This window comes from Homo sapiens, chromosome 8, assembly GCF_000001405.40.
Source record: "Homo sapiens chromosome 8, GRCh38.p14 Primary Assembly".
Lineage (NCBI taxonomy): Eukaryota > Metazoa > Chordata > Mammalia > Primates > Hominidae > Homo > Homo sapiens.
Genome location: NC_000008.11, coordinates 141,569,528 through 141,597,229, shown reverse-complemented (window position 1 = coordinate 141,597,229; position 27,702 = coordinate 141,569,528). Strand labels below are relative to the sequence as shown.

At 56.5% G+C, this 27,702-nt stretch overlaps 5 annotated features.

Moving 5' to 3' along the window:
• Positions 7,034 to 7,552: an enhancer, noted in NCBI's record as "H3K4me1 hESC enhancer chr8:142599778-142600296 (GRCh37/hg19 assembly coordinates)". NCBI's record gives its function as "activates a minimal SCP1, AML or CMV promoter by ChIP-STARR-seq in primed H9 embryonic stem cells {active_cell/tissue: H9 hESC(primed)}" and the evidence as "EXISTENCE:reporter gene assay evidence [ECO:0000049][PMID:30033119]".
• Positions 14,048 to 14,861: an enhancer, noted in NCBI's record as "H3K4me1 hESC enhancer chr8:142592469-142593282 (GRCh37/hg19 assembly coordinates)". NCBI's record gives its function as "activates a minimal SCP1, AML or CMV promoter by ChIP-STARR-seq in naive H9 embryonic stem cells {active_cell/tissue: H9 hESC(naive)}" and the evidence as "EXISTENCE:reporter gene assay evidence [ECO:0000049][PMID:30033119]".
• Positions 15,750 to 16,249: an enhancer, noted in NCBI's record as "H3K4me1 hESC enhancer chr8:142591081-142591580 (GRCh37/hg19 assembly coordinates)". NCBI's record gives its function as "activates a minimal SCP1, AML or CMV promoter by ChIP-STARR-seq in naive H9 embryonic stem cells {active_cell/tissue: H9 hESC(naive)}" and the evidence as "EXISTENCE:reporter gene assay evidence [ECO:0000049][PMID:30033119]".
• Positions 18,918 to 19,907: an enhancer, noted in NCBI's record as "H3K4me1 hESC enhancer chr8:142587423-142588412 (GRCh37/hg19 assembly coordinates)". NCBI's record gives its function as "activates a minimal SCP1, AML or CMV promoter by ChIP-STARR-seq in naive H9 embryonic stem cells {active_cell/tissue: H9 hESC(naive)}" and the evidence as "EXISTENCE:reporter gene assay evidence [ECO:0000049][PMID:30033119]".
• Positions 21,470 to 21,970: an enhancer, noted in NCBI's record as "H3K4me1 hESC enhancer chr8:142585360-142585860 (GRCh37/hg19 assembly coordinates)". NCBI's record gives its function as "activates a minimal SCP1, AML or CMV promoter by ChIP-STARR-seq in primed H9 embryonic stem cells {active_cell/tissue: H9 hESC(primed)}" and the evidence as "EXISTENCE:reporter gene assay evidence [ECO:0000049][PMID:30033119]".

Genomic DNA, 27,702 nt, shown 5'->3' with positions numbered 1-27,702 from the left:
CAGGGGAGAGGGACTGGGAACTGCATGCCATCGGCGGGGAACAGAGCATGTGGAAGGGAGGACACAGGCCGCAGCTGGAACTGGGGATGTGGCGGTGGCGGAAGCCGGAAGGAGCCTTGCGGACCTACATGAAAGGGTTTTGTCTTTATTCCAAGAGCGAAGAGAAGCCATTGCGTGTCTGGGTTTTTGGTTTGGGCTTTTTTTTTTTTTTTGCCGGGCGGGGGTGTGCTATGATCAGCTTCACAATGTGAAGTGGGAGAGCTATTTAGGGGGAAAAATTGACAAGGCAGGGTGGTGGGTGGGGTGAGGGGAATCCAGACTCCAGGCTCAGATCCTCCATGGAAGGAGGGCCCTCCCCAAGCTGGAGGGAGAGCAGGGGAGAGAGAGAGAGAGGGAGGGAGGGAGGGAGGGGGAGATCAGGAGAGCAGCTTTGACTCGAATTAAAGGGCCCATCTCTCTTTCTCTCAGGGGAGGCACGGGGCTAAACTCTTGGGCTGCCAAAGGAGGTCTGCCAGAATGGGAGCTCCCCCAGGGCGCCCTGACCTTGTCCAGGAATCTCCTCCTCCCACTGGACAAGCCTTGGGAAGTCCTGAGGCCTGTCTGGAGCCCAACCAAGGAAGGAGACGCTAACACCCCTCCCCAGCCTCCTCCTGAGTCTTAGATGAGGGACCCCGTGAGGGGATGCGGGAATACGGTCCTCAGAAAAGCTGCCTTTGGGGACAGGACAATGGTAGGCATTCTGCCGGAATCTGTTTGTTGGAATTTTCTTAAATGCCTGGAGCTTAGGCCTTTATGAAATCTGCCTGCATATTCATGCAAATAATATGCAAATCACACCACCCCCAGATCAGCTGCAGGGAAGTGTAGCTCTTTGTCCTCCTCCCCGAGGGTCAGCTCCACCCAAGCAGCTGGGCCAGGAGGGACCTTGTCATTTGCCCTCACACACCTACAGCTGGGGAAACTGAGGCCAGGGAGAGGGATGGGCATCCCTAAGATCACCCAGCGTGCCTGGGTGGAGCAGGGCAGGAAGCCCCCAGGCTAGGTGCTTTCTAGACCCCCTGCTTCCTTCTACTTAGAGAGAATGAGCCAGGCTCCCCACTCTGGCAGGGACCCAAACAAACAATGTCTAGGATCTCACTGCTGGAAGGAGGCGTCTGCAAGAGGCTCCTAGATGCCTCTGAGAAGAAACAGTAATATTTGCTCCTAAATCTACTCCCAAGGGACATAGCTAACAATACCCTCCCCAAATCAAAGCCAGCTCCAGAAATAAAGCATCCGCCAGCCCCTGCATAGATTAAATGTCACCACAGAGAAGCGGAGGAAGAATGATTCTATGTAGAGTCGGCTGAGGGAGCTGGGTGCCGAGGGAGAGAGCGCCTCTCGCTTTCAGATAACCCCTGAAGGCCCGGCCCTGTGCCTGCTCTGGGCCGGTGCTGGGCTGGGTGCTTAGTCACCTTGAGTCTGCTCCCCACAACCAAGCAGCTCTCAGCCTCTAGCGCCATTGCTCAGGTGAGAAAACTGAGGCTTAGGGAAGTTAGTAATGCTTCAGGAAGAGCATGTGCAGGGGCCGAGATTAGAACCAGGTCTCTGGTCTTTGGCTCCCATGCGGGGATGTGCAGGAGGCTCGGATCTGCCTCTCTGAGGTTCCCCAGGCGCCTCGGAGCCAGAACACCAGGGAGACACGTGTGCTAGGGTTCAGGGCCATGGCCCCCTCTGCTCTGGAGCCTGAAGGCCCCGTGCGCTGCAGACAGGCCTACAGGATGGAACCCCAGGGGTAGATCCCACCGTGCTGGCACAGCATGGGGGGCACTGTGCAGGACCTGAGGGGCCTCTTCTAGGGAGTGGAGGCCAAGAGCAGGACTCGCAGTGAGACAACATGAGGCCATGCCCTGGCTCTGCCACTTGTGACTCACTGGGGCCTCAGTGTCCTCATCTGTAAAATGGTGTCAAAGCAGTGCTTACTGCTCAGGGCGGCCATGCGGACAGGGTGAGATCTGGGCTCTGGAACATTAGCACTAGAAAGAACCACTCATGAGTGCATGACAAGGGTTTAGGAGGGTACACGGCAGGGTGGGGAGGCTCCAAAAATGCCAGCTGTGGTGGCCGTTAGCACTCTTAGAGATGAGAAAACAGGGTCAGCAAAAGCTAACAGCTCCGGGGCCCAAGGGCTGTCTTCCTCCACAGAACTTCTCCAAGCTACACACGCAGAAACCTGTCCACACTCCCCCAGTATTTCCTAAATGGCCTCCGGGCACTTCTGGGGACAAAGGGACACTGAGGAGGGAGGCCCAGACTGGGAAGTCTGGAGCTTAGCACAGCAGATGAACACTAAAGGGAAACCTCAGACCTGGGACTTCTCCGGACACTCAGCTGACCTCTCGCCTCGTATAACAAATTACCCAGAATCTAGTGACTTCAGAAGACAACCAGGTGCTCATGAATCTGCAAGATGGGCAGGGCCCTGCAAGGATGGCTCATCTGTGCCATGAGAGCAGCTAGAGTGGTGCCGGAGGACTTCCTTTTTACGTGGCTCACTCAAGTGGCTGGCAGCTCAACCAGGGCTGTGAGCCCTGGGCCTTGGCTTTTCTCCACATGGGCCTCACCACGGGCGACTTGGGTTCCTTACAACATGGCAGCTGGGTCCTAAGTGTAAATGTCCTCTGAGAGCAAGGCAGAAGCTTACCACCTTCTGTGACCCAGCCCAAGAAGTGACCTAGCATCATCTCTGCCCTCATCACAAGGCCACTGGGGTGCAGGGGATGGGGACACAGACTCAACCTCTCTCTGGGAGGAATGGCAAAGCCACATGGCAAAAGAGCATGTGGCATGGGAAAGATTGTTGCAGCCTATTTGGAAGTGGGAAGCATCCATGGTCTCTGTCATTACGTGATGGAGTGGGAGAAACCCTCATCACCCAGCCACAGGATCTGGACCCCTGCTCCCTGTCACAGCCACCCTGACATGTCACCTTTGTCCAACACACCACAAGCCCCAGCATCCGGTCTGGCAGCAAATTCTGTTGGCTTCTCCCTCAAGGCACACCCAGGTCCCAGCCAAGTTTTTCTGTTCTCACGGCCACGGACCCCACCATAGCCATAGGTCCTGTTAAAGCCCAGGTCACACCCTGTCCCTCCCTGTGTGGCCCCTGACCCACTCAAAGTAAAACCGGATTCCACACCACAGTGCATGTCCCCTGGCTCACTCTGCTCCAGCTACACTGGGCTCCGTTCTGCTCCTGGGACCCCTGCCCGCCCCTGCCTTGGGGCCCCTGCAGCACCGTTCCCCCTGTGGGAACTGGGCTCTCCCACACCTCCTTCACGTTTCTGCTCAGAGCTCCCTGCTCAAGGAGGCTACCCAGACCCCTCTTCACCCTCAGTTCCACATCCCCCTCATTCCTCTCAGCTTTTCCTTTCTCCTCTTGTCCAGCTTGCTCTAGAAGGCCTTGATTACAATGTTTCATATGCTTTGTCACACATACACACCCCTGCACACATGCACACACACCCTCATGTGCATGAAAACACGTATGCACATGTGCACCAGAAGGTAAGCTCCACATGCCTGCTTTGTCACTCATGGCTCTGGGGATTCTGCTGATGACACACGCTGCCCCGCTGTCCCACCACCTTGCCTGTGCAGACACTGGTCCCTCAGCCTGCAGTGCCTTCTCCCAGCTCACAGTGCAAATCCCCTTCATGGTCCTGCCACATGCCTAGGACAGGGCAGGGCGCCACCCTCAGCGTGCTCCAAGGCCCTGGGTGCCCCTTCCCAGCCTGTACCTCCATGTGTGGGAGCCGTCTGGGGACCAGCTTGGGTCTCCCTGCACAATGGGGGCCCCTTGAGAACCAGACACAGGTGCCCTCAGCCACACCTGGGAGCCACGCCACCTACCTGTCCCCGTGACCAGGCGTGGCTGTGATCTCCATGCCCCCTCTTATGCCCACCCGCGGGTGTCGCCATCTTGGATGTGTGGCCACTGTGGGCCTGACCACGCTCCCTGGCAGGAGAAATTGTGACGCCTCCCGCATCTCCATGATGAATGGTGTGTTCCATACCTGGAGCTCCCGAGAGGAGGTCGCCTTGGAGGCGGCATGGCCTCCCAGGCCGGAGGGAATGAGGCTGAGATTTATGAAATGGCAAGAAGACACCAGGGGCAGGAGATTTAGGGAACGTGTGAGTCCCACAGCTCTCAACCAAAGAGGCTGGTACGAAAAGGGGGGAAAGTCCATCTCTGCAAGGAATCAGTGGCAACAGTCAATCTCAGCGCTTCCCGGGGAGAAAATAGAGCCAAGGAAGGCGGGGATGGAAAGAGGAAGGAGGGCAGTTTGATCCCTGGAATTTAAACACACGCCTCAGAGCTCAAGACTGGGCCCAAAACAGATACACACACTCAACTGAACCAAGCAACACACACCCAAGCTGAGGGAGCAACACACACCCAAGCCGAGGGAACAACACACACACACCCAGGCTGAGGGAGCACCACACACACACCCAAGCCGAGGGAACAACACACACACACCCAGGCTGAGGGAGCACCACACACACACCCAAGCTGAGAGAACAACACACACTCAGGCTGAGGGAACAACACACACACACCCAAGCTGAGGGAACAACACACACACACCCAAGCCGAGGGAACAACATGCACACACCCAAGCTGAGGGAACAACACACATACACCCAGGCTGAGGGAACAACACACACACACCCAAGCCGAGAGAACAACACACACACACCCAAGCAGAGGGAACAACACACACCAAAGCTGAGGGAACAACACACATCCAGGCTGAGGGAGCAACACACACACACCCAAGCTGAGGGAGGACCACACACCCAAGCCGAGGGAACAACACACACACCCAAGCTTAGGGAACAACACACACACACCCAAGCCGAGGGAACAACACGCGCACACCCAGGCTGAGGGAACAACATGCGCACACCCAGGCTGAGGGAACAACACACACACACCCAAGCCGAGAGAACAACACACACACACTCAGGCTAAGGGAACAACACACACACACCCCCAAGCCGAGGGAACAACACACACACACCCAAGCCGAGAGAACAACACACACACACCCAGGCTGAGGGAACAACACACACACACCCAGGCTGAGGGAACAACACACACACACCCAAGCCGAGAGAACAACACACACACACTCAGGCTAAGGGAACAACACACACACACCCAAGCTGAGAGAACAACACACACACACCCAGGCTGAGGGAACAACACACACACACCCAAGCCGAGGGAACAACACACACACACCCAAGCTGAGGGAACAACACACACCCAGGCTGAGGGAGCAACACACACCCAGGCTGAGGGAACAACACACACCCAGGCTGAGGGAACAACACACACACACCCAGGCTGAGGGAACAACACACACACACCCAAGCTGAGGGAGGATCACACACCCAAGCTGAGGGAGGATCACACACCCAAGCTGAGGGAGGACCACACGCCCAAGCTGAGGGAGGACCACACGCCCAAGCTGAGGGAACAACACACACCCAGGCTGAGGGAGCAACACACACCCAGGCTGAGGGAGCAACACACACCCAGGCTGAGGGAACAACACACACCCAGGCTGAGAGAACAACACACACCCAGGCTGAGGGAGCAACACACACCCTGGCTGAGGGAACAACACACACCCAGGCTGAGGGAGGATCACACACCCAGGCTCAGAGAACAACACACACACACCCAAGCTGAGGGAGGACCACGCGCCCAAGCTGAGGGAACTTCGACCTCTGCCCAGGTGGGAGGAGGAGGAATGAGGAACAAGGGCTGTGTCCGCCTGGGGTCCCACACAGGGCAGGCACTGAGACGCTGCCTCATTCAGGCTGCACGACCTCTGTGGGAGAGAAGTTCTGTGACCCTGTTTCACAGAAAAAGAAACTGAGGCTCCGGAAGTTCCAGGCAGAAGCATGGATGGCAGGGCTGAGACAAACCCACTTCCACACAGCACAGGGCCTCCCCCAGCACAACTCCGTGAAGGCGAAGAGTTCTCTCCCCAGTGTTGGGCAAAGTGTGCTCCATCTCCCCTCACCAGGCTCCACCACAATGGGGACGTCACCCTCCAGGGAACCTTTTCAGTGTTCCAGCATGGGGGCTTGGGAACGTGGGGGACAGTCTCCACTAATCACCAGCACTCCAGGTGAGGAGACCTCCCACCTTCACTCAGAAGGGGAGGGAGCCAGGCCTTCCAGAGGAACAGGAGCTGGAGCCGCCAACGTCCAGAACAACACTGAGTGCCCTGTAGGTCTCTAGGGGTGTTCCCTGCACTGTCCCGAGGTGTGGCCCCTGGGAAAGCTGATGGGGCTGAGGCGGTTTCCAGGGCTGAACATTCCTTGTTGTTCCCTTGCAGGGACAGCACCCTCCCTGCCTGCCCCTGCAGGCAGCCCCCCTGTGTCACCCGTACTGCAGATGCTGGGGAGGTGGAGAGAGTGTGGGGCTCGGATGGACATAGGTTCAAGTCCAGGCTGGGGCATTCCTGAGCTGTGGGGCCTTGGAAAGCTGGGTCTGCCTGCAGGAACATGAGGAGGGCGTGGAACAGATGGTACCGGTCGGCGCTGCCCCTGCCGGACTCAGGCGGCCCCCATAGCAGCCCCGCCTCTGCCTGCAGATGACCGCTGTCATTGCAAGCCCTGATCCCTGACCCAAGCCCTGGGTCCAGAGGGAGCGTGAATCAGAGTGTTTGGGATTTTAGAAGAGCGGTATGGTGCTCTCTTATCACAAAGTGCCTATCATATAACACCCTCTTGGGGCTGGGGGCTCCCACAACACAGACAGCAGTAGTTTCGCAGCAAAATCCATTCATATTCACACTGGGTGAGACAGACAGAGATCCCAGATGCATCTGTTGAGGTTGGGTGCACCGCCACACAAATTTCAAGTGGGCTGGTTTGTTCAAGCACATTTTGGGTTCATGTTGCGGATGGGGGCTGTGAACCTGCATGCACGATTTGCGGATGAGGAACCTGAAGGTCAGAGATGCTGAGTCATTCACCTAGGGTCACGCAGGCTGCAGGAGAGGGAGCCCGCACCAACCAGGTCAGGCTGTCAGTCGTAGGTCTGGCTGGCTGGCTTCAGCAATTTTGCTCACTGGCCCTGTCCAGTCTGACTCCCAGTAGGGACAGCAGGGGAAAGTGTGGGCTTCAGAGATGGACACACTAGAGGTCAAAGCCTGGCCCCGGCCCTGGAAGTTCCAGGGGTTGATTGATTTCCTGAGCCTCAACCTTCTCCTCTGCGAAATGGGAAGAATACCCACTCTAGGGGACCACTGGAGGGGTAGAGACAAGCTGTGTTGGGCATTATCAGAAGGCAAAGGCAAGGCATCCAGTAAAACTCTCCAACTCTTCAATTCTCTCCTTCTCTCTGGCACACACACACGTGCACGCGCACACTCACACGCCTGTACACACGTGTGCACACACATACACATGCACACACACGCCTGCACACACATACATACACACACACATGCACATATGCACACACATCCCTGATATGTCAAGGTTGAGAGCCATCGTCGGGAATGTGCCCAGCCTCCCGGCCCCACTGGCTGTCTGCCCTGCACAATTCCTCTAGCTCCCTGACCACTCTAGGCCCTCTTAACTTTTCTGTCGCCAGACACGGGGATCCCACCACTCCTTACCTTGAGGGACTCTGGGTCTGAGAACTTGCCTGGATCTGGCACCAGGCAGCTGACATTGACCTTCCGCTCATCCATCCTTGACTTCTACTGATTATATATTAGCAGATGTCTTCATGCCTGCCCAATTATCTTGCCCCTAGGAGCACAGTGTTCTAGGGCCCCCTATAGTTCCCCCCACCTTGCTTCTGCAATGAAGTAGAGTCCCCCACCAGCTTCTGCAAGTCTGGCACCTTCTCACCCTGTTGCTTCTGGGGGAGCCCAGTTCAATAACAGCAACTCCTGCTGTCAACAGCTAGAGAGGACAGGCATCGCCGAGCCTCTCCTCGCACAGGTGGCCCTTGTTGGGGCAGTCCTGATCACCTTGGTGAACACCTGGTGGGCTCCAGTTCCATGCAGTGAAACTCTCCCGGCAAGACCACTCCTCAAAGCTTCCTGACCCCATCCTCTGGGGCTGGGCGTGCAAGTGCTGGCCTCTCCTTCATTTAATGGAAAGCTTCCAGGAACTGCCCCAGGAGCAGAGCAGCCCGGCTGCCCAGGACCCTGGTGGGCCAAAATCCAGCCTCAGGGGAGAGCACCCCGAGACCCACGGGCTCCTTTATCTCCCTCCGTGCCCACCTCCCCGCCACTTCCAGCAGCACCTCGCCCCAGGCCTGCAGGCACCACCACCAGGCTAGCAGCTGCCCCCTCAGCAGGCCCAGCTCCTCCCTCCCATTTTGCTGGGATTTGACCCTATTGTGAGTCCAGCTGGCAGATCCAGGAAGGGGCAACACTGTCTTGCAGGTACCCACCTTACTCAGTGCCTCTAGGGCCGTGTCTGTAGAACCCCAGGGCAGGGCAGGGTGGGGAGGGGCTCAGGGTTCTCACTGCATCTCTCCAGAAATGCCCCCAGGCTCAGGGTCTGCCCCTTCCCCGTCAGGACCCAGCGGTGGTAGGAGACCCAGCTTCTGAGAACTCAGCTCCTCTCCTTCCTTCCAATTCAGTCCTGTGTGTCTTCCCAAGCCTGCTTGGCCCCTGATGCAGGGAATTAGTTCTCTTCCAATGCTTCCAAGGAGGCCCTCCGACCCCCACAATTTGTGTTAAATTGATGACTAACAGATCTGAGTGTGTCAATTTGTCTCTTGTAATCGTCAACGGCTCTTAGCCGCAGCCTCCAATTGCGCTGTCCTCATGGCCGTGGTGCCTCTCATCCCCTCCGTCCCCGCCGAGATGTGCCTCCGCTCCAGGTTCTTGTCCACCCTCCAGCTCTCTCGCCCATGTCCCCTTCCACCTGGGCTCCTCCTGGCTCACTCTGTCCATCAGGGAAGTTTCGTCTTGTCCCCTAGCCCCACTCCCAGGCTGGCACCCTCCTGGGGCAGATACAATGGCAGGACAGTGTGAGGGCCCCAGAAGCTGTCCTGCTGGTGGGGTCCTTGCTAGGACACAGCTCGCTGATCTGGGGCGGGGTTGGAGGGCTCCCTCATTCTGCCTGTAATTACACGAATATAGGGGGACAGTGGGGACTGTGGGAGCCTGCCTTCCCCTCCTCTGGCTTTCCATACACCCCAGCTTTCAAGCACATCTCTAGAGGACCCAGAGAATCATCCCATCACGGACATTAATAATGGAAGACTGCACCCGGATCATAGAATAAAATAATGAGATCACAGAAACAAGTCATGTAGTCAAAACAGAAACTGAGCCTCCCAGAATAGAATCACTGCACTTAAGTATTACCGTGGGGTTGGGTCACAAAACCACTGGACAGGCCCAGAGAAGGCTGGATCTAGAAGGACCGCAGGGGTTACTGAGTGGACACCTTCAACTTCTGGATGAAGAGACAAGAAGTGAACTGCCCAAATTCACAGTGAGTCATCACGTCCCAGGCTTCCCAGGAAGTTGCTGCTGGGAGTTGGGGAATCTCAGGGGAGGGGCACCAGCCTGCAATGAGCTATGCTCCCTTCAATCCAGCAAGTCTCCGCTGAGCAGCCCTGGAGGCCCTGCCCCACACACCGAGCAGGAAACTGGAGGCAGAGGTGTTGACTGAGGGTTCAGGCAACCGGGAGTCTGGCTAGAGCCACACCCAGTGGCACAAACACGTGGGCAGGAGTGGATAAGAGGCAGGCAAAGCCACAAGCCAGCAGGAAATTGAAGGCAGTCATGGCCACACTGGAGTCTGGTCTCGGGAGCCGGCATGCCATGGGGCTTCACGACCTCGTGCAGGAGTTTGTTGAGTGAATAAACAAGTCACCAGGATGCAGACTCTGTGAGAACAAGACACCCGCCTGCCCTGCCAACCTCTGTGTCCCCAGCCTGTGCCCAGCACAGTGTTGGTGCTCGGTTGGTATTTCTGGAGTATCTGGTGAAGAATCACAGCTAAGGCTTTTTTTAAATTGAGGCAAAATTCACATCACACAAAACCAACCATTCTGAAGTGTCCAATCCGACAACACTGAGCACATTCACGATGCTGCGCAGCCACCCCCTCTCCCTAATTCTAAAACATTTTCATCACCCCAGAGGGAAAGCCTGCACCCATGGTCAGTCCTCCACATCCCTCCCTGTGGTGCCTGGCAACCCCCTGTCTGCACTGCGCCCATCTCGGCAGATGCACCCGTCCTGGGTATCTCCTGGGTGGGATGTGAGGCCTTTTGCATCTGGCTTCCTCCCCTTTCACTAACACTTCCTAAGCACTGACCACATGGCAGGTGCTTCCTCTTTGGCTGTGGGCAGCTGTCCCCCTGCCCTCCAGTGGAGAACTGGCCCCAAGACAACATAGCAGGGCTGTGCCTTTTCTCCCCATTTTACAGACAAGGAAACTGCAAACCAAAAATAAATTTATAAGCCCCCCAACCATCTTCATGGACTTCCTCCTCATCCAGGGCACTCTAAAATTGAACCTGAAAGACTGGCTTAGGTCATGACGGGAAGCAGGGGGGTGGACACGCCTCATTATACCTCTCCGGCATTCACATCAACACAGAACTTGAGTCTGATAAGAAACATTTGCAATCTCTTTTCTCTAAAGCCTGCTACCTGGAGCCTTCATCTGCATGAAAAAAATAATTCTTCCAACCAATTGCCAATTCGAAAAATTTAAATCTACCTATGACCTTGTATTAGTCCATTTTCACACTGCTGATAAAGATGTGCCTAAGACTGGGCAATTTACAAAAGAAAGAGGTTTAATGGACTTACAGTTCCACATGGCCGGGGAGGCTTCACGATCACAGTGGAAGGCAAGGAGGAGCAAGTCACATCTTACAGGGATGGCAGCAGACAAAGAGAGAGCTTGTGTAGGGAAACTCTCATTTTTAAAACCATCAGATCTCTTGAGATTTATTCAGTATCACGAGAACAGCATGGGAAAGGTCCATCCCCATGATTCAATTATCTCCCACCAGGTCCCTCCCACAACATGTGAGGATTATGGGAGCTACAAGGTGAGATTTGGGTGGGGACACAGAGCCACACCATAACAGACCTGGAAGCCCCTGTTTCAAGTTGTTCCACCTTTCTGGATCAAAGCAGTGTATATCTTCAATGTATTTGATTGATGTCTAATGTCTCCCTAAAATGGATAAAACCAAGCTGTGCCCTGACCAGCCTGGGCACATGTTCTCCACCTCCTGAGGCTGTGTCATGGGCCATGATCACTCATATCTGGCTCAGAATAAATCTCTTCAAATATTTTACAGAGGTTGACTCTTTTCTTCAACAAAACTAGGATGCAAGGAGACTAAGACACGTGCCCGAGACCCTTCAGCCAGGGAGAGCCCAAGTCGCATGAAAACCTGCCAGACCTGGCCCTGGGGTCTGTGTCCTGGACCATGAAACTGACCCGCCTCACTCCATGACAGACTGAATGACCAGGGAGGGCTTTCTGGGGAACATGAGGCTGGGCTGAACCTTCAACAAGTGCGTGTGAAGCATCTACTATGTGTTGATCCAGGGTGAATGACCAGGGAGGGCTTTCTAGGGGACATGAGGCTGGGCTGAACCTTCAGCAAGTGTGTGTGAAGCACCTACTATGCATTGGTCCAGGGTGGGTAAGTGTGCAGTGGACTCATGTCCCCACTGTCCCCCCCACATTCGTGTAATTACAGGCAGGATAGGGGAGCCCTCGGGTATATCCATCGCGTAGACAGGTCCCCCTATGGGCCTTTCACTCCATCCACACCTTGGCTCCTCTTGCTCCTGACAGTCCCCAGCCTCGGCCTGCTGCAGTCTCTCGGGGCTTGGGGAAGACAACTCTCCCTGATTGCTGTGACCCTGAAGGATCTGAGACAGACCTCAGTCAATTTAGAAAGTTTATTTTGCCAAGATTAAGGACACACCTGTGACACAGCCTCAGGAGGTCCTGATAACATGTGCCCAAGGTGTTCAGGACACAGCTGGGTTTTATACATTTTAGGGATACGTAAGACATCAGTCAATATATGTAAGATGAACATTGGTTCAGTCCAGTCAGGCAGAGCAACTCGAAGTAAGAGGCTTCCAGGTCGCAGGTAGATAAGAGACAAGCAGTTGCATTCTTCTGAGTCTCTGATTAGCCTTTCCCTGAGTCCTTAGTGTAGCTCAGTGAATCTGCATTTTTACATAAACAATAGGGCAGAGGAAGTGCATTAGTCTGTTTTCACACTGCTAAAAAGAACTACCTGAGACTGGGTAATTTACACAGAAAAGAGGTTTCATTGACTCACAGTTCCGCAGGGCTGGGGAGGCCACAGGAAACTCACCATCATGGTGGAAGTGGAGGCAGGCACATCTTACATGGTGGCAGGAGGCGGGGAGCAGGGGAAGTGCCACACTCGAAAACCATCAGCTCTCGTGAGAACTCACTCACTATCATGAGAACAGCAAGGGAGAAATCTGCCCCATGCTCCAGTCATCTCCCTCCAGGCCCCTCCTTCATCACGTGGGGATTATAATTCAAGATGAGATTTGGGTGGGGACACAGAGCCAAATCATATCAGAAAACAATCAGATAAGTATTTGTCTCAGGTGAGCGGAGGGATGACTTTCTGTCCCATGCCTGTGAAGATAAGCTATCAGTTTACATTGGTAAAATTCAACAGAACTGCTTCATAGTAAAGATCTTGAGGTCCACAGGGAATACCCTGTGGGCAAGTGGTGAGGGAGCTGTGTAGCTTTTTTATCTTCGTAGCTGTCCTATTTAGGAATAAATCGGAGACAGGTTTGCCTCACGCAGTTCCCAGCTTGCCTTTTCCCTCTAGCTTAGTGATTTGGGGTCCTGAGATTTATTTTCCTCTCCCATTGTCATTGTCTCAGTCCGTTTGGGCTACTACACCCAAGCTCCACAGACTGCATGACCTACAAACAACAGAGATCTATTTCTTGCCATTCTGGAGGCTGGAGGCTGAGATCAGGGCACTGGCAGTGTCTGGGGAGGGACATTTCCAGGTTTCAACCCCACCTTCTCACTCAGTCCTCACACGGGACCAGGCACCTCCCTGGGGTCCCTTTTATCAGGGCGTGGTACCATTCATGAGGACAACATTCTCACGCCCCCCTCCCCTCCCATAGGCCCCACCGCCTCATACCATCACCTTCGGGGCTAGGATTTCAATGTGTGAGTTTGGGGGACACAAACATTCCATCCTTTGCACCATTTAAAGCCGCTCTGCTGCCAAGCCCACTTTCCATCTCTGGAAGCAGGACTGGCCCAGAACTGGCTTTGGCCTACAGAATACGGCAGAAGAGATGACCCCGAGCCTGGGCCTCAAGACACGGCATGAGCTTCTACCCCCCTGCCTCCCCAGACCCAGCCCCTGCCATGAGAAGCCCGCAGGGGAGCGAGCCCACCCAGCCCCACTGTCCCAGGCATGTGAGAAGGCCCAGGCCAGACCAGCAGAGCCTCCCGGCCAGCCCGTTGCTAACCACAGACTTGCCAGCAAGCCTCGCAGGTGGATTAGACCCACCCGAGGCTCGGGAGAAACCACGGCACCTTGTTGTTTTGAGCCACTAAATGGCGGGACGCTTGTTCACGCTGCTGCTATGGCAAGAGCTAGCGAGGCGGCTGGTACCGGGTGATGCTTCACCACGGCTTTCCAGAAAGCGCTCCGTGACCCCAGGCCCACCCTTCCCGACACTCACGGCTCCCTCAGAAATGCTCCTCTCAAATCTCTCACTCTCCCGGCAGCCTTTGTTGTTTCTTTTTTCTTTCTTTCTCTTTTGCAAGATGGGATCAAGGAAAGGTCTCAGACACAAAACGCAACATTTTTCTTCCATGACAGATCAGATATTGAAGGGCTCAGTGAGGAGCCCTGCTCTGGGACAACTCCATGATTAGCGCTCCAAGAGGCAGTCACAGGGAAGCAGGTGCTCTGTTCCCCTCCTGGCTCAGCAATCCCGCAGTCCTCCCGTCCCGCTCCAGGCCCAGCCAGCCTGGCTGCTTGGATCCGAGACAATAGCTTGGTCTGGAGGCGGCTCAGGGTGGGAGGGACCCAGGGACCCGGGCACCAGTACAGCAGCTGGGAATTCAGGCCCAGGGATAGGGATGGGGCACAGGACACCACCCCCATCTCACACAGGGAGATGAAGGTGGGATCCAGCATGGGGACTGGACATCCCTGAGTCCAGCTGCCCCGTTACAATGGGGGAACTGAGATCCGGGGATGGGATAGTTCTCGAGCATCTCCCAGTTCTCACAGAGCTGGGAAGAACCGAGATTCCTGCCCCAGCCTGTGCCCCTCAGCCTCACAGTGCCAGCTCACAGAGAAGGGGGAGGTGGCAGCACGCACTGATGCCCGGGGGAGCCTGGAGGCCCTGCGGAGCCCGCTGCTGCTCAGTGCGGCTCCTGGGCACAGTCACTTACCCTCCTGAAGCTGCAGCTTCCGGTCTCTGCAACCACAGGCCTCTGCGGGAGCCCACGGATGGACCCAACCCAGAGAAGGAGAGGCCAGGTCTTTTCCAAGACAGAGTCCGGGGTTCCCACATTCGAGGAAGGCAAGTGGAGGGAGCTAAGCAAACAGAGGTCTCTGCTCCCCGCGGGAAGTTAGACAAAAAGAGAACAGGAGTCAAATGCAGCTGGATTACGACCTAAGATAGCTGCTCAGCTCAGCCAAGAAAGAGCCTGGGCGCCTGCTGGCAGTCGGGGGCTGAGTGTCCAGGTGCTGGCAGGAAGGCGGCCTTTGCCCTCAGCCCACCCCCATCTTGGGGCCCAGAGCACAACAGCATGGCCAGCATTGACTGGGCCCTGGTTGAGCACTTTCTATGGATTAACTCATTTCATCCCAACCACCCCCTTATGAGGTAGCTAAGACTCAGAAACCAAGGCCCAGAGGTCCACTCACAGTCCGAGGTCACACGGCTGGAAGGTCGGAGAACCCCACGTGTACCCTTTCATCTCCGATGGCAGAGCCAGTGCTTGTAACTGTTATGGGAAGCAGCAAGGCCTGGGCTGAGGAGAGAGACGCAGGGTGACCCACCTGGGAGCGCAGAGCCCTAGGGAACCCCAGTCACGCTCTGGGGGAAGACCCAGCACAGCACAGAGCTCTCTACATCCCTCCTTGGCCTCACCCTTTCATCTCTGCCCTCTGCCCTCTGATCTCAGCCTGCCCCTTGCTGAGTCTGTCCCCTCCCTTCACTGGTCCCTCCCCTGTCTCTCCTGCCCTCTCCCTCCCTCCTGCCTCCAGCTCACCCAGGCTGAGCCTTTCCAAGGGCCGCTCAGACCAGGGACAGTGCTTTCAGGCAGTTATTCTCCGTTCCTGTGCCCGTCTTCAAGATGGAACTAAAAATACTCCTCCCTTCCTCGACATGCTGGGGGCGGGCAGGGGGCCGATGACTATGGGAAATGCCCGGCTCTGGGCCTGGCACCCAGACGGAGTCAGGCATGTCCCCTGTGCCCTCCTCAGCGCTGACTCCTGCTCCGCCTCCCAGCCTCGTGACTGCCTCGCCGAGGCGGTCTCTGTCTGTCTCTCTCTCTGTGCATCTGTCTGTATGTCTCCCCATCCCTGGGTTTCCCGCCTCTTTCTGTCTCTCTCTATCTCCCTGTCTGTCTCTCCCCAAGTTTCTCTCTGTTTCTGTCTCCCTGTCTGTCTCTTTCTCTGTCTCTCTGTATCTCCCTATTTCTCTCTCCCCAAGTTTCTCTCTGTTTCTGTCTCTCTCTCTCTGTTTCTGTCTCCCTGTCTCTGTCTCTTTCTCTGTCTCTCCATATCTCCCTGTCTCTCTCTCCCCAAGTCTCTCTCTGTCTCTCTCTGTCTCTTTCTGTCTCTCTTCCTGTCTCTCTCTCCCAGTCTCCACCTGTCTCTCTCTGTCTCCCTGTCTCTCTCGGTCTCTCTGTCTCTCTCCCAGGCTCTCTCTGTCTCTATCACTGTCTTCCTGTCTCTTTCTGACTCAACATTTTGTCCCCCACCCTCTCTCAAGGGGTGGACGGCCCAGGCCCTGCCATCAGCTCCTGAAGGGCCTGGTCCAGCTTCACCAGTGTTGCCCCAGCTGCCTCTCCCATCACTCATCACAAAGCCATGAGGGGTAGGCCTCAGGAGGCAAGAAGTGTCCGAGCCCCTTTGCCCCATGCGGAGCTTCCTGTCCACTGCACACAATCCTGAGGCTCCCAGCCCCACCGCGGCTCTGTGTCTCTGGCTCCTCCGCGGGGCTTTGGGTGGAGGGTCCTTCGGTCTTTTCGCTGTTAGTCGCAACAGCTCTGCCCTGGGGACCCTGACTCCTGACTCTCGAGGTTCCGCCCCATCTCAGTCCCATCACAGTGTTGTCAGCCGAGGGGCGCTCCCGGCTGGTGGCTCCCCCAGGCAGTGTTGTCAGCCAAGGGGCACTCCTGGCTCGCGGCTCCCCCAGGCAGGAAGGGTCTTCTTCAGTTACGATTTGATGGGTCTGCTGTGTGGGTCGGGCTGAGGCCTCCCCTTCTTCATCCTTGATGGAGAATCTTCTTCCACTACCCCCGGGGCGGGCGAAGAGACTGCAGCCGCATCTAGCTCCTTCCAGGCCCTGAGCACTTTAGAAGGGCTGCTGTGGCCTGGGGGGCTCCCAGGGAAGGGGAGACTGACTCAGGCCTGGAGGCATCCACAGAACTGTGTGGCCAGAGTGAGAAGCACTGCCCCTCAGCAAAGAATCACCTGGATTTCTTTTGGGGGAGCCCCCTTCCCTCCCTGGAGGTGCATGACAGAGGGTGACCCGGTCAGAGCACCAATGCCCCTGGCCACAGTGGCCGGCTCAGAGCCGGGCCCGTGGCGCCAGGTGGTCAAACAGAGGGATCACTGGGACTGAGAGGAAATTGCTGTGAAGATGTTTCCCGTTTGCCATGAACATCAGCCTGGCAGGAATCTGGCCAGGAGGTGAGGGCTGTCACTCCGCCTCCGCGGGAGCCCACAGATGGACCCGACCCAGAGAAGATCAAAGGAAACGAGAGAGGCTGAACGCTGCAGATACTGTTTGTGCAGTTGGAAATGAACGCTGGAAACGAACGCTGATCTTTTCAGTTACACCAGCCAATAAATATCCTTTCATGTTTAAGCCTTTTTGAGTTTCATGTTCTTCCACTCACAGCCCGAGCATCCTGGTGGTTAAGCTCTCTTTTCCAGGGGAGAGGGACACATCCCAGAACGTCCTTCCCATTTTGCACCCTTACTCCTGGCCCTCCTCCTTCTTGCAGGCAACACGACGGCATGGACAGTAGGGGTGGGCCCAGGCCACCGTGCGCTGAGCCGCATGTTGTCATGTGGCCCAGAGGTCCTGTGGGCTCTTGCACAGCCAGGCCACTGCTCCAAGCATGTATGGGGACCCCAAGACAGCCGGAGGCAGCAGAGCAGGAGCAGAGAGCCTGAGCGACAACCTGAGAGACCAGAGTCACATCAACCCCGCAGAAACCTCTCCAGGAGCCCAGGGCCCCACATGCCCCGTGGAGAAGAGAAAAGGATGCAGGGGTCTGCCATGCCTGCCTTAGGGCCTGCTGGCCTCCCACACCTGGCACTAGTGGGCCCTCGGCCCCCCGACACCTAGGTGCTGCCCCCATGTCCACACAGTCCTCTCCCCACCAAGCCGGCTGTTCTTGGAGTCCCTCGGCTTCCAGCTTCCACGCCAGGAAGCCTGCCTAAATTGTCCTGACCACGTAGCCAAGCTGACTTCCTGGACTTCCAGAGTACAGATGGACTCAGCCTGATGCTGTTACTTAACTGTGTCTGGAATGTCCGTCTCATCCCTGTAGTCACACTGTAATCTCTTTAGAGGGATTGGTAAGAAGGCATCAAGATTCAGGCTGTGAACAGAATCAGGGCTCTGTCAGTGGCCAGGATCAGGGCTCAGTATATAAGGGGATCAGTGCCCAGTCTATAACCAGGGTAACAGTTCAGCCTATGACCAGGGCTCAGTCTGTGACCAGAACCAGGACTCAGAGTGTGACCAAGGGCAAAGCTGTTTCCACAGTCCCTTCCAAGAGTGGGACATTTCTGCAAAACTGGAAGAAAATTCGGGACCAGCAGGACCTTCCAATGGCCGTGTTTTCTCTATGTCCACTGAGGGAGCAGGAGCCTGGCTCGGCCCTTCTGGCAGGGCCTCCTGACTCTCGTCCTCCTCCCTCACTCCCACCCTCCTGGATGGACCTGCCTCTTGGGCCTTGAAAAGGAGAAATGAGCTGCCAGCACCTCTCTGCCCATCTCTTCCCTGCCCATCTCTTCCCTGCCATTCCACACTGTAAGCTCCAACTCATTATTCCCCTTCCCGGCAATTGTGAGACTCTCAACCAATTCATCATGATTCCCACAAAACCCTGAGCCATCTCTGGGCTGTGGGATAAGAGGGAGGACGCTGAGGGCTCACAGGGGGTCCAGCCATGGGGGCAGCAACGCCAAGACACTGGCCCAGGATCCAGCCTGCATTGCAGCACAGAGGCCGGGTGACCGCACCTCCTGCTTCAGTTTGCAGTCTTCAGAATGGGCTGGTGGAAGGGGGTTGCTGAGGAGTGAAGGTGAGCAACCTCTCTGCTGGCTACTCCTCTCCTCCTGCCCTTGAGGGGTTGATATGACCCAGCCCCATCTGTGGGGTTTTCACCTCAGGTACCATCTGTGGGATTTTCAGCTCCAGCCCCATCTGTGGGACCCTCACCTCCAGCCCCATCTGTGGGACCCTCACCTCCAGCCCCATCTATGGGATCCTCACCTCCAGCCCCATCTGTGGGATCCTCACCTCCAGCCCCATCTGTGGGTTCCTCTCCTCCAGCCCCATCTGTGGGATTTTCACCTCCGGCCCCATCTGTGGGATCCTCATCTCTAGCCCAGCTCTCTCTTCCAGGTTACAGGTTCCAGACCAAGTGCTCCCATCTCCCAGGAGGTCCCTCAGGTACCTCAACCTTATCCTGTCCAAAGCCAAGCTGTCAGCCAGCCTTGCTAGTCACCCCCCAGGACTTCGCAGGGGAAGTGGCTTAGGCTCAGAACCAGGTTCTGACCTGGGTTGAAACCCCATTTCTTCCACTTTCCCATTGGCCGACCATGGGGAATGTCTTTGCTTCTCGGAACTTGCTTCCTTGGAGGCAGAATGGGAACAACAGTGGCTGCTTTTTGTGGTTGTGGGCATTTGAGACAATGCGTGACAAGTGTCCTACAATGCGTAGGCTGCTGGGAAATGGTGGCTGCACTGGTGGTGCCCGTGTTGCTGGAGCGTGGTGTCTGCTTGCCTCAGCCTCACCTGCATTTTGGGTTCCTGTTATGGGTCCAGGTCACAGCCACAGCATATCTGCTCAGGCCTCTTACCTGGGCACTGCCCCAGCTCCCTCCTGGGGCTCTCCAGCCCCTGCCTGCCCATGTGCCCTCCTCCAAGCAGCCTCCACCTTCCTTCTCTAAATGATCTGGCTGCAGCCCACGTGTGCCCAAGCACGGGACAGGCAGCACCACTTCCCGTAGGCCAACCCCACCTCTCAGGGGCTGGGGAGACCTCACAGCTGTCCACAGGGCTCCTTCCACCTGCAAAGAGAGAGGGGAGAATCCCCAGAGGAGGCTTCTCATTATGTCCTCCACCCGCCAGAGCCACACATCAGGGCTCTGATTGTTTTGCTTTACTGTATCTTGGCAGGGAAACAATGGGAAGACAGAGCCTCAACCTCCATTCGAATGCCAATGCCTCCAAATTCCAGGGGAGGGTTTCTGAGCACACACCCTGGACCCTGTGGCCAACCGAGGGGTATTTGGACACTGTGGGGATACAAGGCCAGTCCCAGCTCCTACTACTGCCTCAGCAACCCCAGAGAAACACCCACTCCAGAGCCAGAGAGGAGCTGTGGTCCCAAAAACGGACACTTCACAGCAGAGGCTGGTAATCCAGTGAAGAAGCTGTAGGAACCCAAAGAAAGCAGCAACCACCTGGAGAAGGTGGCCTTGGGATGGAACCAGGGAACGAGGGGCAGGGGAGGAGATGGAGTGAGACAGGCCCGGGAAGGGGTCATGGGGTGCACTTGGATTCTCCTCTTAAGAAAGAGTGGGGGCTGGGGGTGCCAGGGCCTGAGCTGGTGGAACTACAAGGTCAGGGTGATGAGATCATGAGGCTGGCAGTTTGCAGAGGACACACCAGGTCGACATCTAGGAGCTCCCCTGGCAGCCGTCTATGGTGGGGAAACTCCTGACCCTCCATGTCTGGCCCAGCCACTGGCTACGCTCCTCATACTTACCCCTCAGTCCACATTCTGCAGCCAAGCCCACGCTTTCTCTCCACTGTAGTCTCTGCTCAAAGGCCGCCTCCTCCGAGAGGCCGCCCTGACTGCCCACCCAGCCAGCAGAGCAGTCACTCAGAGACGCTTGTTCTTGACTCTCGTCACTCTGGGGCACCGTGTTCTTGTGTGTTTATTACCAGCATCCGGCAGGGCTTGGGAGCAGGAGCCGGACCACCTGTGTGCCAATGCTGGCTGTGTCCCTCCTGAGTGGTGACCCTGGAGGTCACTTGCGGTCCCCATGCCCAGGGTCCGTGTCTGTAGCACAGGCAAGCGCAGCCTCCCCTGAGAGCTGTGGTCGGGACTGAATGGGGTCAGATTCACGGAGCACTTAATGCCAGGCTGGGTGCAGAAAGTGCCCTGTGGATTTCTGTCATCTGAAATATAAACTTCAACCCTCTCTCCCAGCATGGCTGCTCTCAGGGCTGGGCCTTCTCTTGTTCACTGCTGAATCTGAAAACCTATGACAGTGTCTGGCTCACAGAAGCTCTTGGGGAATATTTCTTGAATGAGCAGACAAGCCCCAGCTCTAGGCATCCCAAGATAGCAAAGCTGTCACAGAGCTAGAAAAAGCTCCAGCCTGCCATAGTGCTGGGGACAAGGATTAGGGGTCCCCAGCATCCCAGGTCATCCCTGCCTGGGTGTACCTGGCTCCTGCAGTGAGTGGGCAGCAGTGGACCGGGGCCTTCTGAGCTGCACCCTCATCAGTCCTGGTACCCAGAACTTTGAGGGCTGGGGGATCTGCAGGCTGGGACCCCAGCAGCAGCACCGAAGCAGCCCCTGGAAGGGTTTGAACAGGGCCTGGCATCTCAGAACCATCCCTGGGTCACAGAGAGACCCCCTCCTCTCTGACAGACAGCCCAGCATGCTTGATTAACAGGGCCTTGAGCTGTTTCCTATGACGTCTGCTAAAACCTGATCATGCCCTCATTTATTCAACTCGTCAGCTTTCATCTGCCACCCACTACTCGGGCACATGGGGGGTTTTGGAAGTGAGCGCTGAGTCTTCTCCTCTCCCCAGGCATGCTTCCTGGAGGGAACCTGAAACCACTGTTGTCCCCCGAGGGCAACACGGTTCTTGGCAGGCAGGCAGGATCAGCACTGGGAGGGGCAGGGCAGGGCAGGGACCACCCGGGGCATGTGGGGCAGATGAGTACTGGCTGGCAGGGAGCCCAGAGAGCATCTAGGCCAGCCCCTCCCTGGACAGATGGGGAAACCGAGCCCTGAGGATGAGAAGCTATTGGCCCATAGTCAAAGAACTCAGTGAGCCAAGATCGTGCCATTGCACTCCAGCAGTCTGGGTGACAGAGACAGACTCCGTCTCACAAAACAGACAAACAAACAAACAAAGAGCTCACAGTGTAAATGCCAGCCCCACTCAGAAGCGAAGGACTTCAGCACCTGCCCTGAAGACAATGTGGCATTTGCCACCTGAGACGTGGGTTCATGTCCTACCACCGCCATGGTGGTGGTGGGGCTGACTGGCACCTTCAGCAAGTCACTGGATCTCAACGAGCCTCCACGTCACTCGAGAAATGCAGCTGCAAGGATACCCCCATGGCCCAGGATCAGGGATAACTAGGACAACAGATTACCCAGAGCCTGCGGCTCGGCCAGTGCCCTAGAAACACAACTGCTATTCAATCAAATGTCTGCCTGTGGGCCCTGCACCCCTCTGAGGGACAGCCCCCTCCCATGGTCTGTGCCCAGACTGGACCCCACAGGGCTGAGCCACAGGGTCTTAGCATCTCAGGCTGGGGATGGCCTGTCTCTGCAGCAGGACGTCTGTGAGTTCAGGAGACGTCAGACAGGCTGCAGGTGCTTCAAGTGCAGCCACACCAGGGCCACTTTCTGCTTTGCTGTAAAGATAAAGGTGAGAACCCATGGTGGCTGCACAGAAAAGAAAAAGCCAAGGCAGGTGGGAAAGGCCAGGCTGTTCCCTCAGCTGGAATGTCCACCTCTAGTCCCCTCAGTGCTTCAGGGTCTCACTGCAGAGCCACCTCCTCCAGGAAGCCTTCCCTAATGCAGATTTCCACCCGTCACCCGTGGACGGCATCTCTTCTCCTCCAGACTCTCTCAACACATCTGCTCCTCTTCAGTGCCTCCTCTGGGTTATTTGAAGCCTTGTGGAGCTGCTGTATGCCTTTCTGCTAATGCATAGTCTGTTCACTGTGCATTGAAGAGTCCTCTCCTCCCCTTCTCTTCCTGACAAACTCTTACTCATCCCTCAATACCCAACTCAACGCTCACCTGCAAAGGGAAGCATGCTCTGTCCTCCATGAGCTCCTGGGCTTCCCCCACCATAAGACGTCCCACTCCTGCCTGGAACTGCCTACGGAAGCTCCTCTCCCCCTGCAGGCCAAGGCATGTTCCCTGCTCATCACCTGTCATGGGTCCTAGCACACAGGAATGGCCTAATAAATGCTTGTTACATGAATGAAGGAAGGACTGGAGCCCATTGGGGCCTCTTTAGCTTCCTCCCTGGCCTGATCAGCACCAGGAGTTTGAAACTGCCCCGTGGGCCTCCCAGGTCACCACAGACAGAGCTGCGGAGATGGGCAGGGGACTGAGCGGGGGCTCAGGACTGGACACATCAAGTGACCCAAGGACTCACCGCAGCTGCCTGGGTATGAGGAGCCTGGGGGTTGTCTCCAGAAGCCCCCAGCTCAGAGGGCTCCTGAGTGCACAGTGGAGGACACAAGCAGCCGACTCTTGTGCTGCTTCCTGTCTCTCTGGAAGGAGCTCCCTGCTCTGCCCAGACAGGACCATGCTCCCTCCCCCGAGCTGTGAACCCTCTGGGGACAATCTGCAGTGTGTCCAATCCAGGGTCCACTGAGTGCCCCAAATCTGTTGCTCCTGGTTGTGTGACTTGTGACCACTTTGTACCCTCTAGGAGCCTCAATTTCCCCATCTGTGAAGGCGAGCAGACTCCAATCCCAGGTCCAGCTGAGGCTGGCAGGAGTCACTGAGGAGCATGTGAGGTGGAGTCACTCTGCGGCCATCCTCCCCGGGGGCTGCCGGCTCTGCTGCCTGCCTCTGGAATTGTTACCAGTTGAGGGTAGTTGTCCAGGTTCTTGGCGTTTTGAACAAAGAATTAGACAAAATGCACAAATAAAGCAAGGCAGCAAAAGTAAAGATTTATTTTAAATGAAAGTACACTCCACAGGGTGGCAGGACACTCAAGCAAGCAGCTCCACGGCCATCAGTTACAAAATTTTCTGGGGTTTAAATACCCTCTAGACTTTTCTCATTGGTTCACTCAAATGAAGTAGTGGCTCACAACCAGTCTGATTGGTTGCATGAGGGGACCAATCAGGATGAAGAGTAGCCCTGCAATCAGTCTGATTGGTTGTGGGAGGGGACCAATCAGAGTGAAGCATAGGCCTGTGACCAGCCTGATTGGTTGCAAGAGGGGACCAATCAGAGGTACTTTCATTTTTCAGCCGCTGTGCAGGAAAAAGAGCAACCTCTGATATCCAGTGAGTGTGAATCAGCCTTAGGTTCCCTGCATGCAGATCCTATTCTCCTACCTCAGAATCACCTCCTGGGGGCCCTGAGGACCAGAACATCTCACCAGCCTTGCTCAAGGCCATACAGGCCAGTGGGAGCTCCAGAACCAGCTCCCCCATCCTGTTCAGGCCATAGCTCAGGTTGTCTCCTGCCAGCCAAGCCCAGACCCCAGCACGCCTATGGGAGACAGTGCTGTCCTCGGGCACCTGGACCAGCCTCAGGCCTGGCACATCCTGGAAGGTGGCTCTGACAGACATCTGCTCCCACACTCGGCCTGTCCAGGGGTATTAAATGGTTGGTAAAGTTTAATACCAAAAGCGGGTTTTAAGTTGATTAAAGTTTATGACCAGTGCCAGCTCCATCATAATCACTCCAATGGCTCCTCCGCCCTCCCCGTCCCCCCCCGCCACCCCGCCCTGCACACAGCTGCATTGCTCTCAGGCCCCGTGCAGGCCACTCATCACCGAAGTGTCCCTGGCAGTCATAAAAGTACAGCCAAGAGGGCGGTGCATCGGCAGACAGAGTAAGTCATGGCCTCCCAGAGTGATTCAAAATACCCCCACTGACTGTTCCCTGGAGAAGGTGTGAAGGTCGCACCTGGAAGATGTTTGAGGAAAAGCTCTGGCATCTGCAGGTGGGGCCCGAGCAGCCTCAGAGCCCCCTTCTGCACACTGCTCTTCCTCACTGCCCCCCACCGAGGACTCAGGCTCACCCCAGCACTGAGACAGGCCCAGCAATGAGACCACCGCAGCCAGGTACCCAGAGGTTTCCCAGGAAGGTGGGCTGTGCCTCCGGGACCCTCCCTCAAGCTTTTGACAAATAGTCATGGGAAGTCCACTCAGAGCTGGGTGCGGGGGCCAGGGGATCAGACCCTGCCCGTTTCCCAGGGGAGCACCAATCCCTGTGGGCAAGGAAGACACCAAGGAAGAAAACCGGAGAGCCAAGTGTTTCAAACTTCCTTGCGTCTGCCGGCTCCGGGGCTCCAGGCATCTCTGGTGCATGTCCACAGCACTCTAATCTCAGCTCCCGGTCACACAACCCCATCCACCATCTTAACTGCCCTTCCCTCCCTCTAACAAGGACCCTTTACAAGGTATGTTTCTCCTCCCAAAATCCTCCAATTAAACACATCGGCAAACAACAGTTTTCCAAATAGCACCCCGTGCACAGGTTCCAGTGATCAGAGTGTGAACATCTCTTGGGGGGCTACTTTCAGTCCCTGACAGTGGGGAGCTGAGAGTTGAGCATGGCTGGTGGGCGCAGGAGGGCCGCTTCCCCAGCTCCTCCGCTGTCACCTCGCTGAGGCTGAGCAGCTCCCTCCATCTGGTTCCAGGAGACACCCCCTCATCATCCAGGCAGCTCTTCTTGACTGGGGCTGGGCCACTCTGCCCCCTCTGCCATGTGGTCCCAATAGCAGGGCTGAAAGTGTCTAAGGACATCCCTGGGGAGGGGCTTCTGGTTCAGGCAGCCCAAGCCTGGCTCCTTTGGGTCACCGGGTGGACAATGGATGGGAAGGCAGAGACAGAGCAGAGCGTGGGCTCCAGGAGGCAGCCCAGGAAGAAACTGGAACATGGGGCATGGGGCGTGGAGGGAAGTGTGGGAAAGGATAGTGGAAGGAGAGGTGGCCGCGGACTGGATGATGGCAGATCCAGGGCCCCTTTGTGCTTCCTGCAGATCTAGGGCTGCTGTCTACTCAGGAGCCTCCATTTCTTCACCTGCCACCAGCTGGGTAATGACACCTGCTCCAAACCACAGCTAAGAGCAGAGCTGACCATAGGCTTGGCCCTGCCAATCCACCCCCACCCCACTGGAAAGCAGACTTGGCCATAGACGACTGGGCTTGGGTGGAGGAAGCCCATGGGGTATGGAACGTGAGAACTGCCGGTCTCTAGTGTTTGGGGCAAGCGTCCCAGTGAACAGGATCCCACTGCCACTGTCCAGCCCTCACCCTGGAGAGCCAAGGCTGCTCTGCTGGGTGCTGCATGGGGCCGCCAGTGTAGACAACCAGGGCAGGTGCCATGGGAGCTGGGGACAGGCTGGCTGCCCACACTCCCCCACAAAAGCCAATAGGGTTGGGGAGGGGGGCTGTGCTGGGTATTCCTGCCACGACTGTGAGCCCTGGGTCTCAGGGGCACCCCCACCCCACTGGGGAGCCCCTGGGACCCTCAGTCCCTGACCTGAGACATGACCCCCAGGTGTCACCCACCCAGCTCCCTGCCCCCGATATGATTTGTCTGTGTTCCCCACCCAAATCTCATCTTCAGTTGTAGTTCCTATAATCCCCACATGTCGTGGGAGGGACCCAGTGGGAGGTAATTGGATCATGGGGGCGGTTACCCTCGTGCTGTTCTTGCGATGGTGAGTGAGTTCTCGCAAATCTGATGGTTTTGTAAGGGGCTTTCCCCCTTTTACTCGGCACTTCTCTCTCCTGCCACCACTTGAAGGAGGACGTGTTTGCTTCCCCTTCGGCCATGATTGTAAGTTTTCTGAGGCCTCCCCAGCCATGCTGCACTGTGAGTCAATTAAACCTCTTTCCTTTATAAGTTACCCAGTCTCGAGTATTTTTCATAGCAGTGTGAGAACAGACTAAGACACTCCTCAAGCATGAGAGTTCAAGGAGACCAGGTCCACTGTCCAGGTCTTGGCCAGGGCACAGTGGACAGTAGGAACTCAATCAGAAAGCTCCAGTCTCTTGCCTCTACCTTGTCCCCAGGTCCTGAAGCCCTTGGTGCAAGTAGGGCCTCCTGTGCACCCTGTGCCCTCCTGTGCACCCTGTGCAGCCATCAGCGTGTCACCAACAGTGCGGTGTTTATGACCAGGACCACCCAGGAGGTTTCTAATTCGGACCACAGCATACTGAGGAAACAGCTTTCTGGCTGAACTACACCTTTCCCCAAAGCCCAGCCCCCTGACCCCCGCAGGGCCGGGGAAGGGCCTGATTGTGCTTCTAGGTTACCACCCTTGCCCCTACCTAGGCCACATACAGCAGGTGGTGTCAGTAAACATCCAGCTGCCGAGGGATCAGGCAGGCCTTTATGGGCCCAGAGTAGCCCCAGCCACCCCATGTCACCTCTCCCTCCACAACTTCCCCCATGCCAAGGTCTTGGATTTTCCAGCTCAAATCATTCATCACCCACTGAGCTCAAATATCCTCCTTACAGATGAGAAGGAGCACACCTGGCCCAAGGTCACCACCAGACTCGCCGGAGGGTCCTCAGCAGTGGTGTGGCCCCAGCATCACTTTCTCATCAGCACACAGCCCACCCCCATGAACTTGAAGAGGCTTCTCTCCCAACTAGAAATGCACAGATAGAATGGGCTGAAAAAGCCAGCCTCACGCAAGGAGAGAATTTCAAGGAATCTGGAAACATAGCTAGTGAGAGCTGGAAGCTGAAGGGGTCAGGCCTACTGGGGGCGAGTCTGTCCAGGAGGCTAGGCTGGGGGACCCCTGAGCTTCCTGCATAGCCCTGAGAAGTTGCTCAGCCTCTGCAGCCTCAGCCTCCTGCAGGATGGGGTGCAGGTGGCACCTGCAGGACAGGATGCAGGTGGAGCTCCAGGGCAAGGCACTCACAGGCTGGCCTGTGATGGGTGCTGGGGGGATCCAGAGGCCCTCCCCTCTTCCTTGTGGGAACTGTATTCTTTCTGGGGGCCCTGACCCAGCAACCACAGCCAGGCCAGCACCTGGATCCAGGGGAGGGGCTTCTCCCCCTAATACTTCTCCACTCTTCCCTACACCCCACCAGGCCAGCAGACTCCAGACCACTCCACCTGGAGTGTCCCAAGGCCACTGTCCCTGAAGCCCTCCCCCACTCCTCACCTTTGTTCTGCCTGGGTGTTTCAGGTGGCTCTGCTTAGGGT